Consider the following 11,557-nt stretch of genomic DNA (forward strand, 5'->3'; position numbering starts at 1 on the left):
TGGTCTGTGTTGCTGAAGGCCCTCATCCCACCTCCATCAGAAAATAACCACAGGGCCAGGCGCAGTGGCTCACACCTGTAACCCCAGCACTTTGGGAGGCTGAGGCGGGTGGATCACTTGAGGCTGGGAGTTCGAGACCAGCCTGGGCAACATTGGGAAACCCATCTCTACTAAAAATACAAAAAGTAGCAGGGCGTGGTGGTGCACGCCTGTAGCTACTTGGGATGCTGAGGCAGGAGAATCGCTTGAACCTGCGAGGCGGAGGTTGCAGTGTGCCGAGATCTTGCCACTGCACTCCAGCCTGGACAAGAGAGACTCTGTCCCCAAAAAAACAAAAAAGTGCATTTCATGGGATGGTGTACATACCCACCTCTTTGCCGCATCTGGCTGGTGCATGCCCTTAGTTGCTGGGAGGTCAGGACGAGGGCAGGTTCACTTGAAACCTCAGCCCTACATAGTAACAAGCTCAAACACCCTTTTTACCAGAACAATGCTCTCCACAAATCATCAGAACCTGTGGCCTGGCTCAAACCACCTTTCAAGACATTCACATATGGGCAAGCAGCACTTGGACACTCCAGACAAAGATATATTAAAAGAGAGGGTCTTTCCAAAAGGATCCCTACTGCACCCACCAAGGGACTGGGTTTCCATATTTAATTGGGGAGAGGCTTTTATCTGTTGGGATTAATTCCCCTTACACACAGAGCCATACCCTGTATGGAGCTAACTTTCCTGTTTGGCAGACACAGGAAATCACCGAGATCAGGTTCTTGGTCCAGACCATGACATAAGAGAAAAGATTTTCTTCAGACCTTTGCATTGCCCCCAGTGATACCCTGAGTTTTCCATTTTGGGTGGCTGGAGAACAGGGTGTGTGGTGACAGATGGGGTTGAGCGGAGAGCCTGGAATCTGTCATCGTCTTTAGTAAAATTGCCTTCCTTCAGTACCCTGACCGGCAAAGCACACTTCTGACCTCTTTCTGAACTGAATTAAGAATGGCCATGAACAGTCCGGGAAGTGGTTTTGAACTTTCAGGTGCTGTCCTTAGAGCACAATGGGCCTGTGTTCTTCCCCGTGGATCCATGGGGCCGGAACCATGAATAGCAGGCGCACAGTGGGTTTTGGTGCAACTGACCTTGTCCACACATCAGAGTTTCCGGTTTCCCAATGACAAGCCTGTCTACGTATGTAAATTGATCCTGACTTTCCCTTTCTTTTCTTTGCAGTGAAATGCAAAATGGAGGACGATGCAGTACCTGCAGCCAAGATGAAAATTCCATCATCTTAACCATAGCTAAGACGTATCTTTGCCCATTCGAGCACAAGTTACCTTGTGCAAGGAAAATGTCCAAATGATGCTCTCTCTCTTGTGATTTCTTTAACAAGACTTGGAACATGTGCAAATGGAATCTTTTCTGTACAAGATAGGATTCATTGCAAACAAGCTTTAATGCAAATAGTTTAGAAAAGAAAGGACCAGTCTTCACTTTCTGCATTATCCCCACATTTTATTCATTCATCCAGATTACTTCTTCAGTGCCTCAGGAGTATTCTTCTACACCAGCTGCTGTTAAAATGTACAATGAACTCTAGTCCCAAGGAATACAGAAGTGCTCTTATTACCAGTTTTCCCACTTGTGGCCGCCTTTGCAAAGATCCATATTCTAATTTAAGTCCCCAACCTCTGAATTTGGTTTTAAGTTTACCTAGTGACTGACTACTCTCTTTATAAAAAAGACCTTATACTTAATGATCATTTCCAAAGGAGACCACTCCTTAACTTTTACTGCAAACCCAACAAGATGAGACACTTAAACCCAGACAGATGTAACAAAGGATTTTTGTTGTCTAAGTCCCAAAGTATTATATAGAAAGTTCCTGCTTTTATGGGTAAACTTATTACCTTAATATGTTCTGTGGTTTGCTGTTAACCAAGATTCTCCCATTTAAAATGCCACAGACCGACCCTCAAGGCAGATCCGAAAGCCTAGTAGTTAGTTGCACTGGGTTGTTTTGACAAGCTACCACACGTCTTAAGTAAATAGTAAAGCCTTTATTTTTGTGTTAAGAACAGCATTTTGAAAATAAAACCTATCTGCCCATGGTTTACAGCCTTTTAAATTTGTAATATTTATATAGTCGTTTATGGTACATATTGATTGTCTTGAAATTTCTTTAACTTCTTTTTTATAAGTATGCAACAGTCAGCCGGGGGAAGATAAAGGTACATTATAAAACACACATTAATGCATTTAATAAATATATATTATCTATCAAAAGTGAGCCTTAGCTCTTCATCAGTTAATAAAAAGCACCTGCTGAGAACTCCTGTAAGCTGGTATCATCATTGCATCATTGGATTATAAAAGCCACAATGCTCCCTTTCAACTTGGGGTTTGGCCTGAGGCGTTCAACTCAGCCTTGGCCAACCGAGACCACCACCCGAGTTCACCCTTGTTCAGTGGGTCCTGACGGCATCTGGGCTAAAAAAAAAAAAAAAAAAAAGCACTGGGCGCCCAGCTTCCAACAACCAGATCTTCAACTCTGGAATCCCTGGAGATGCACAGAACTTCCCAGTTTGTAAGCTGTCAGAGCTGACTCCCTTCTCTTCCCACCCTCCACCTCCAGTGGGGAGAAATCCAGGCTAGAATGACAATTTTCTATTAAAAGGGGGGACAAGAGTGGCTGTTATAGACCCAAAGCGATTTTAATAACCAGACACGGAACAATTTGTGCTTACAATGAGAGATTTTGATCACAGATGCTCTCCTCCCGGGTCGTTTTCCCCAAACGAGTCTTGTTTACACACGCAGATCTTAAACAGAGGTGCCATTTAATTTTGTCTTTAAACCTTGCTCCACGGGGGGCAGCTGGCTGCTACAGTCTCTTGGCAAAGATGTCTCTTGATACTTTTCAGGTGTAGTCATTAGAAAAAGAACAGCTCTCTCCCTTCTCCTCTCACTCCCGCCTCCGCCCCCATTATGAAGGCGTTCAGCCCACTCTCAACCTTAAAAGCCAAAATAAAACAAAACCCTAAGTGCGATAACATATCAGATTTAAAAGGGGGGAAAAAGGTCTCATTAAATGAGGCTTCCCATGGCTCAAAGATGGCTCTGTTCTTATGCTGGGGAAGCACGACTTTCCATGGCAGCCATTTGTGCTGTGCTCACCTTATATGCTTGGACAATAAAGAACTTAGAAAACGAACGTGTGAATTGCTCCATCGTGTGAATGGTATCAGAAAGCTCCAAAGGACTCCAGAGAGCGGGGGTGAGTAACCATTTCCTGGCACGAGAATGTGTAATGCTGTCGTTTTTTCACCGGACAGGACCGAGGTGTTTGAAGATTTCTTTCTTTTCAGAATACCGGGTCCGCATGCAACCGCCCCCACCCCCACCCCAGGTCCTAGCTTCATTCCCTCCCACCCCTCCCCAGGACTCTTACGTTTTCTGTCCACGCAATGACTGGAACGGGATTCTCTAGAAGCAAGCACATGCTCTGGGCAGAGGCGGGGTGCTTCCGGGGAGGTCAGGTGGGGGTGGCATTCTGGGGCCATGCGTTTTCTTCCCCATGCGTGGTAACACAAGGAAATGTACTAACTGTTAAGGAAAACTCGAAGGCGGGTCACACAGGGAGGGCCAGATTGGCCTTACTTTCCCCAGTGCTTTGCAAGGATGGGGTGGGGAGGGGAGACAGCAGAGACTAGGGCCTTGAGAAATATCAAAAGGTTTATTGAAACATACTCAGCTCAGACGTACTGGCTTATGAAGCGGTCAGTCCTCCCCCGGCCCCCAAACACTAACCTTTTTCATTTTTCTTTAAAGGTTAAAGGCTTATGGGTAGTTTTATAGAAAAAGCAATGTAGTGATTAGAGTATCTGCAGAAGGACCCACCCTCATTTATACATTCCATGCCGTCAGGTTAAAACTCTGCTTTGAATCGATGCTAGAGGTTATGCTGGCCAAACAGTGCAGAGAACATGGGGGCTTTGAATGGCCGAGATGTTCGAAATGCTAAATAACAAAGGAATGACTTGCTCAGGACAGATGGAAACCATGACAGAAACAATGGGCTTGGAAAAGGGCTGTTTTCATGGAACCTGCAGAAAAACCAAAACAAAATATCCCCCACACCCTCCAAAAGCAACAAGAAACCCTCATGTGATCCATTCCATCCAGGAATTTTCACCATAGCAACGGAAAGGACCCGAGGTGTCACTGCTTGTGAGGCAGCGAGAGGTCATCTCTGCATCCTAGTGGGAACCCCTGAAGCCCTGCTAGGTGACATCATCGCGGAAAACCTGCCGTGGTGCCTGCCTTCCAACCTGCCTCCCGGAGGGGCTTTCAGCTGGAGACCCCATTGGAGCTCTTGAAATGAATAAGGGAATAAAATTGGGAGAGGATTTGGAGATACACCCGTAAGTGTAGGAACAGGGCGAGATGATCAAGGGAAGAAGGGACTGCTGCCCCAAGCCAGAATATTTCTATGGCTCTACAAGGGAAGGGGCGGGGCCTGTGTTCTCACCATAGACACTAGAGCAAGAGCCCCATAGAAGGAACAGTGGTTGATCACTTTCCAAATGTGATGGTCACTTCATCACCCAGAGGGCCTCTTCTTTGGCACATGCCAGGGTCCCTCCACCTCTACTGGCTATAAAGCTCACCCCACGATTCAGTTGGGCCTCACCTTGGAATCCCACCCACAACCTCCTTAACTCTCCTGACCCCCCTGAAATGTGCAAACCACCAGGCAAGCCGGTGGCAAAGTCCCCATTTGTCCTCAACGCAACGGTCATCTCCAAGAGGCTACCTGGGGTCCAGCACTTGCTGGGGAGAGGTGATAAGAGTGGGAGCCCCCCACCTCCAACCAACACCAGTCTGGCCCACCAGCTGTGAATTTGGTTCTGTTCTACCCCCAGAGGATGAAACAGTCTTCCCAGCCACATTTTCCAGTGAGCCTAATACTATTTGCAATTAGCTTTGCTTTAGTTTGCGGGGATTGAGGTTGGTCTGGTATTACGTGTCTGTGTGTGTGGCAGGGGAGGGGCGGGCAGTCGGTGTTAGCTTTTCAGTTCGTCAGTGTTCACATTTACACGAAATCCCCTTGGCTAGGATTTCCAAATTTCCTGGCTGTGAGGCGGCCTGGTTCGGCAACTGTTACCGATTTCTCCCTCAAGAAAGACACAGCCAGGGAGGCAAATCGGTAAGAGAAATTCTGATTCTCTGGAACTTAAAGTCTTTCACCAAAGGTGTCTTCCTGTGTGACTTGGCGGAGCAGTTGGGATCTGGAATAACACATAAGGATAACACACTGAGAACTCTGTGCTTTGCAAAGTCAACACTAGAAACCGATGCGTAAACAACGCGGCAAAAATAAGTTACCTTGCTTTTACCTAGATGGGTCGAATAATTCCCAGGAGAGGCAGCAATGACTGTGAGTCATGCTGCTGTGGTTCTTGGGAAGCCCAGCTCCCTTTTCTATAACCATCCACCCGTAAGGAATGTAAGTTCAACTCATTCACTTTCAGTCTTGACTATTTTTTCACACACTGGCCTTGAAGGAACCAGGAGGGCTTAAGAGTGACGGATGGGGGCTTTTCTAAGCATATTTATTATAACACACAGGCCGAATGCTTGTGAATCAGGCTTTTCTTGGCTCGGGACAATAAAACAGCCCAGTCGTTGGCAGGGGGTTTTAAGAATGCAAATCTGTGATTCTGTCTTTGAGCCTGTTCCAAACCAATGCAAACCAATGCCTAGCATACCATTCAAAAGGCCAGGAAAACCTAAATTCCCTCTAGAGATCAAAGACCATCCCTGATTTACATAAAAAAAAAAAAAAAAAGAAGAATGCTCAGGTTGAGTTATGGAGTTGGAACATGATATAAAGAATGGAAACCCAATTTACACATGTAAACTGGCTCAGACCTTGTTTCTGAAAGAAGCATGTAGCTATGTTTGGAAATTAAATGTGGAGATGAGAGTGCATCTTTGGATTGCTGGAGAAACAAAATGGTGTCATTCCAAGGAGGCAAACGTAAACAATGACAATTCTGCTGAAGGTCTGTTTGGCATCAGATAGTAGTAAACCTGCTTCTGTGTTTGAGGGAGAGAAACAGTAACTGCTTCAATTTCTTAAGACATCTCTTAGGGAATGGGAGAACCTGGTACCCAGCTGGGGAGGAGTCAACAGAGGGGTGACCGGGGACCTTAAACTAGGCTGGATGTCAGCAAAATCTGCTAGGGGCGCTCCATCATTCTGGGCTTTTTCCAAAAGTCACCTCCCAGGGACAGAGTGAAAGCCAAATAATTCACTGGGTCCAACAGCCTCAAGGATTACAAACTCTTTCAAACGAATCTACAGATGGTTTTCTAAATAGAGGTGGGTATTCTGTGTGTGGAGAAAAGGGGTAGAAAGGGAAAGAAGAAAAATAAAAGCATTGCATGCGTTTGAGCTGTGGCGGTCCTTGCAGGCCACATGGGCAGCCTCCATGGAGGAGTATGTCCCTGTTGAAGCTGCTCCCCGACACCGTAGACTCCTAGGCTTCCTACCCCCACATCACATCTTGATACTTACGGTCCCACCGTTGAGCACGACGGCCATCTCAGTTGGCTGATACACGTTGCTTCTAAACGGAGCGCTGGGTCTTTTCCCCAAGCTGCCACTGGGTCTTTTTCCCAAGCTGCCGTTGGGAAATCCTGCTGTTCGGAGAGCTGGGGGAGGGAGGGATTGGCAAGACAACATTGCCAAAAAAAAGACACAATTTTGTTTTCTTCCCCTGCAACAACAGCGCGCTCCGGGCACCCCCATCCACCCAACCCAGTGGCTCCTCCCCTTTGTCACAAGCCTGATTCAAAACAAAAGTCACAAAGGGGCTTTGTTCTCAGGCTCTCTAGGAGCCTGACCCATCTCAGTGGGTTTGGGAAAAGCTGCTGTAGAGACCAGGGGAAGGAGGCCCATGGTTGGGCCTCTGGTTCCCCCTCCAAGCCACGCAGCCTCTGCAGGCCGCGGGTGACAGGCGCCTTCTCACTACAGAAAGCCATTCATGTAAAGTTCAGCATCACACTACTCAAAACTGCTTGCTGTTTCTGGACACACACTGAGGAGGAAGCTGCTAAGAGTCTTCACTGGAAAGTGACCAGGGATGAGAACAGGGGGACTCTAACCACATGTGTAGGGTTATTCCAAACAAGAATAAAAGGGAGACCTAAAGCCAAGATGGCATGTCGGCACTTTTTCCCTCTGAAAGATGGGTAAAACCGGTGTTTCTTATTTACTGAACTTTTAGAGATTTGAACTTCCTTTTTGTTAAAGAAAAGCTAACATGAAAAGACATGGAGGAATCTAACAAACAAAAAAAAAGGGTAGAAGCCGGGCGCAGTGGCTCAAGCCTGTAATCCCTAATCCTAGCATTTTGGGAGGCCAAGGCGGGTGGATCACTTGAGGTCAGGAGTTCGAGACCAGCCTGGCCAACATGGCAAAACCCCCTCTACTAATAATACAAAAATTAGCCGGGTATGGTGGTGCACACCTGTAATCCCAGCTACTCGGGAGGCTGCAGCACAAGAATCGCTTGAACCCGGGAGGTTAAGGTTGCAGTGAGCCAAGATTGCACCACTGCACTCCAGCCTGGTGAAATTGTGTCTCACACACAAAAAGTCTTCCCTGAAGGGAGCCACTTTTCTGGCTAAAAAGCAACAAGAGAGCTTGTTTTTGCTTTTGTTTGTTTGTTTTGCAAATTACTTGGGGCAGGGACCAAAATCACCTTAGTTATACAGTTAAGCTTCACAGAGCGCCAACCAGGAGCCAGGCACTGTGCAAAGTACTTTATATATATTAACCATTAACTCATTTAATTTTCTTTCTTTCTTTTCAACTCATTTAATTTTCATCGCACGATAGCTACTTTTTTTTTTTTTGACAAGTTATTGCTGTTGTCCAGGCTAGAATGCAGTGGCACGATCATAGCTCACTGCAGCCTTGAACTCCCAGGCTCAAGTGGTCCTCCTGCCTCAACCTCCAGAGTAGCTGGGACTACAGACACATGCCACCATGCGTGGCTAATTTTTTAATATTTTTTTTTAGAGACGGGGTCTCACTTTGTTGCCCAGGCTGACTATATGTACTTTCATTATGTCCACTTTGCTTGGGGCACTTTGCTTGGGGCCCAAGGTCACACAGCTGGTAAGGGGCACAGTCAGCATTGGGACCCAGGCAAGGAATCTGTGTTCTTTTTTTTTTTTTTTTTTTTTTTGAGACAAGAGTCTCGCTCTGTCGCCCAGGCTGGAGTGCAGTGGTGCAATCTCGGCTCACTGCAACCTCCACCTGCCAGATTCCAGCGATTCTCCTGCCTCAGCCTCCTGAGTAAAGTAGCTAGGACCACAAGCACGTGCCACCATGCCCAGCTAATTTTTGTGTTTTTAGTAGAGACAGGGTTTCACCATGTTGGCCAAGCTGGTGTCAAACTCCTGACCAAGTGATCCACCCACCTCGGCCTCCCAAAGTGCTGGGATTACAGGCATGAGTCACTGTGCCCAGCTGGCATTCGATTCTTATAGGACCTCAAACCCTACTGTGAATTGTGGATGTGAGGGATCTAGGTTGCACGCTTCTTATGAGAATCTAATGCTTGACAATCTAAGGTGGAACAGTTTCATCCTGAAACCGCCCCCCAACCCCCCCGCAACCTTGATCCATGGAAAGATTGTCCGTGGTGCCAAAAAGTTTGGGGACAGCTGCTTTAGCCTACTCACATTGGATTTTTTATTACTTGCAACTTACTTCAAGAAGCCCAACTAACACCCTACCCACACCTGGGCCAGAGACAAAGGCAAGCCAGGCTCACCCACCTTGCTTAGGACCTCTCCTAAGACAAGAGGTCCCCTTAGGAATCAAAGCTCAAATGGCTGGATGCCAGCCTTTTCTTGCATAGACCCTGCATGTGATGCCAGGCTGGCCTTGCCCCCAAAGCCAACTCGGGGCCTTCTAGCAAGAAGCAAAAAGTTGTTTTAAATAGGCCTTGGCCCTAATGAGATCTGACAGCCCAAAGCCCCTAATAGAGGAAAGAACACTTTTCTTTCTTGCTCTGTTGAAAGCCAACATTTCATGTGCCTTGTTAATGCTTTCCAAGATGTGATTCGAGGTGCTACATCTCTCAGTGTATTTTAATCTTTTATCACATACCTTATGCCTTGTTGATACTTACTAATAAGCAGCAGGTGGGTGAAGTTGTATCTATCTGAGGTCTCACTCAGTGGAAGGATATAGGGTGTGGAGGCTTCTGGGGCTTGGCAAAGCCACAGGCCAGCCTGGAGAATGCCCTTCCCACCGCATGAGCATGTCAAGGATGGACTCTCAAAGGAAGAGAGCCCAAAAGGCTAAAATGCAAGAGAAACTGGGCCAACCATAGCTCCTGGGCACCGGCGATTCTGTGAGACCCAAGGGCTCAAGGATAAGGCCTCTGCCTCATGGGGCCTGGTTCCTAAAATACAAGCTGGCTGAGGTCAGCACCAAAGATGCCAACGGCTGCTCCTCCTGTGGCAAGGGAGCATGCCAGATAGTCCCCAGCCAGCAAAGCAAGGGTTTCTAGAACAAAGGCCATCTAGCCAGGACTCCAACTTAGCCTTTCTGTGGGAGCTTTGCCCGGTCTCATTTTTTTTTTTTTTTTTTTGTCAGGGTCTCTGTCTCAGGCTGGGGTACAGTGGTGTGAATACGGCTCATTGCAGCCTCGACCTCCGTAGCTCAAGTCACTCTCTCACCTCAGCCTCCCAAGTAGCAGGGACTACAGGCACACGCCACCATGCCTGGCTTATTTTTAGTTTTTTTTTTTGTAGAGACAGGGTCTCCCTATGCTACTCAGGCTGGTCTCAAAATTCCTGAGCTCAAGTAATCCTCCTGCCTCAGCCTCCCAAAGAGCTGGGATACAGTTGTGAGCCACTGCACCCAGCTTCATGTGAATTTTGGTGGACACACATTTGGGATGATTCAAAAGAAGTCTATTTTTAAAAAGGTCTGACAACACCCAAGGTTGCTGAAGAGGTGGAGAGATGGGGCTTCGATGCGTTTATCAAGGGGAAGGACAGTCCACTGGTCTACCTTTCTGGGGTGCCATCTGGCCATATGTACAGTAATTCCTCACTTGATGCCATCAAAAGGTTCTTGAAAACTCTGACTTTAAGTGAAGGAACATACAAGAGATCCTCAAATAGTGTCATTGTTTTGCTACTGAAATTGATGAGGAAAAAACTGGCTTTATTATACATCATTTCACTTAAAGTCGCAGTTTACAAGAACCTGCTAATAATGTCAAGTGAGGACTTTACTGTATCAAGATTTGAAGTGCAGGCTCTTTAACCCACATTTAGAAAAATTTTTTTGCAAGGAGTGAATTGATCAAAAGCCTGAAGATGAATGCATAAGAATGTTCATTGCAGCACTGTTTATCGTTGAGAGTCAGAAGCAGGCAGAATATTCACCAGCTGAAGATTAAAAAAAGGAGACTGTAGCTCTGCAGTTACCTCTGTAACATTGATTTAAAGCAAGCACGCTGAAGAACGTCACTTAGACCAGCGGTTTCAACCTGGTTACATCTGAGAATCACTTGGAGAGCTTAAAAAATACCTAATACCAAACTCAGACTTAATCACAGTTGAGCAAGCACTGTTTTTGTTTTTTGTTGTTTTTTTTTGAGACGGAGTCCCACTCTGTCGCCCAGGCTGGAGTGCGGTGGCGTGATCTCAGCTCACTGCAACCTCCGCTTCCCGGGTTCAGGCAATTCTGCCTCAGCCTTCCGAGAAGCTGGGATTACAGGCATGCGCCACCACGCCCGGCTAATTTTTTTGTACTTCTAGTAGAGACGGGGTTTTACCATATTGGCCAGGCTGGTCTCAAACTCCTGACCTTGTGATCCGCCTGCCTCGGCCTCCCAAAGTGCTGGGACTGTGCCCGGCCAAGCACTGGTAATTTTTTAAAGCAGCCCCAAGTCATTGTAATGTGTAGCCTGGTTAAGACGCACTCTGCCCCATTGTGTGTGAGTGTGGAAGCAAACCGTTGCCCCTGGGCAAAGGGATTTTAAGAAATTTTTGTTTATTATTGTTTTATTTTATTTTTCATTTGAGATAAGGTCTCCCTTTGTCACCCAGGCTGGGATGCAGTGACGCGATCTCAGCTCACTGTAACCTCTGCCTCCCCGGTTCAAGCGATTCTCCCACCTCAGCCTCCCGAGCGAGTACCTGGGACTACAGGCATGCACCACCATGCCCAGCTATTTATTATTATTTTATTATTTTTTGTATTTTTAGTAGAGACAGGGGTGTCGCCACGTTGCCCAGGTTGGTCTCCAACTTTTGAGCTCAAGCAATCTGCCCGCCTCGGCCTCCCAAAGTGCTGGGATTACAGAGGCGTGAGCCAGCGCACCTGGCTATTATTTTTACTTGTTGAACCTACATGATTCCACTGATTCTATATGATTATTGTTGCTTATTTGCCACCAAGAAGGAGTAATAAATATTTTTGCTTTGGAAAAGAAAGAGGGGAATAGAAAGACAACTTCCT

The 11,557-nt window shown here is 46.8% G+C and overlaps 2 protein-coding genes across 10 annotated transcripts in view, besides 3 other annotated features; one reads left to right on the top strand and one right to left on the bottom strand.

Moving 5' to 3' along the window:
• The window catches only part of IQCK (IQ motif containing K), a 140,197-nt gene extending 136,986 nt beyond the window's left edge, over nt 1-3,211 (top strand). For 7 of the 8 annotated variants that reach the window (NR_130967.3, NR_130968.3, NM_001394805.1 and 4 more), the window contains one exon: nt 1,231-3,211. Coding sequence is in view for 6 of the 8 variants with exons in the window: in NM_001394805.1 (NP_001381734.1) it covers nt 1,231-1,292 (62 nt within the window). In the remaining 2 variants the exon portion in view is untranslated. The remainder of the gene's footprint in view (nt 1-1,230) is intronic. The other variant, NM_001394804.1, reaches the window with a different exon arrangement.
• GPRC5B (G protein-coupled receptor class C group 5 member B) overlaps nt 1,435-11,557 on the bottom strand; it is a 28,944-nt gene continuing 18,821 nt past the window's right edge. Inside the window, exons 3-4 of one of the 2 annotated variants that reach the window (NM_016235.3) lie at nt 6,581-6,717; nt 1,435-5,288 (exon numbers count right to left, since the gene is read on the bottom strand). In NM_016235.3, coding sequence (NP_057319.1) covers nt 5,244-5,288; nt 6,581-6,717 — 182 coding nt within the window. In that variant the 3' untranslated portion in view covers nt 1,435-5,243. The remainder of the gene's footprint in view (nt 5,289-6,580; nt 6,718-11,557) is intronic. The other variant, NM_001304771.1, reaches the window with a different exon arrangement.
• Nucleotides 2,930-4,129: an enhancer, noted in NCBI's record as "BRD4-independent group 4 enhancer chr16:19869508-19870707 (GRCh37/hg19 assembly coordinates)". NCBI's record gives its function as "activates an origin of replication core promoter dependent on BRD2, P300/CBP, MED14 and CDK7 cofactors, and independent of BRD4, by STARR-seq in HCT116 cells {active_cell/tissue: HCT116}" and the evidence as "EXISTENCE:reporter gene assay evidence [ECO:0000049][PMID:35650434]".
• Nucleotides 5,403-5,984: an enhancer, noted in NCBI's record as "OCT4-NANOG-H3K27ac-H3K4me1 hESC enhancer chr16:19871981-19872562 (GRCh37/hg19 assembly coordinates)". NCBI's record gives its function as "activates a minimal SCP1, AML or CMV promoter by ChIP-STARR-seq in primed H9 embryonic stem cells {active_cell/tissue: H9 hESC(primed)}" and the evidence as "EXISTENCE:reporter gene assay evidence [ECO:0000049][PMID:30033119]".
• Nucleotides 6,565-7,145: an enhancer, noted in NCBI's record as "H3K27ac-H3K4me1 hESC enhancer chr16:19873143-19873723 (GRCh37/hg19 assembly coordinates)". NCBI's record gives its function as "activates a minimal SCP1, AML or CMV promoter by ChIP-STARR-seq in primed H9 embryonic stem cells {active_cell/tissue: H9 hESC(primed)}" and the evidence as "EXISTENCE:reporter gene assay evidence [ECO:0000049][PMID:30033119]".

The sequence above is a fragment of the Homo sapiens genome, chromosome 16, assembly GCF_000001405.40.
Source record: "Homo sapiens chromosome 16, GRCh38.p14 Primary Assembly".
Lineage (NCBI taxonomy): Eukaryota > Metazoa > Chordata > Mammalia > Primates > Hominidae > Homo > Homo sapiens.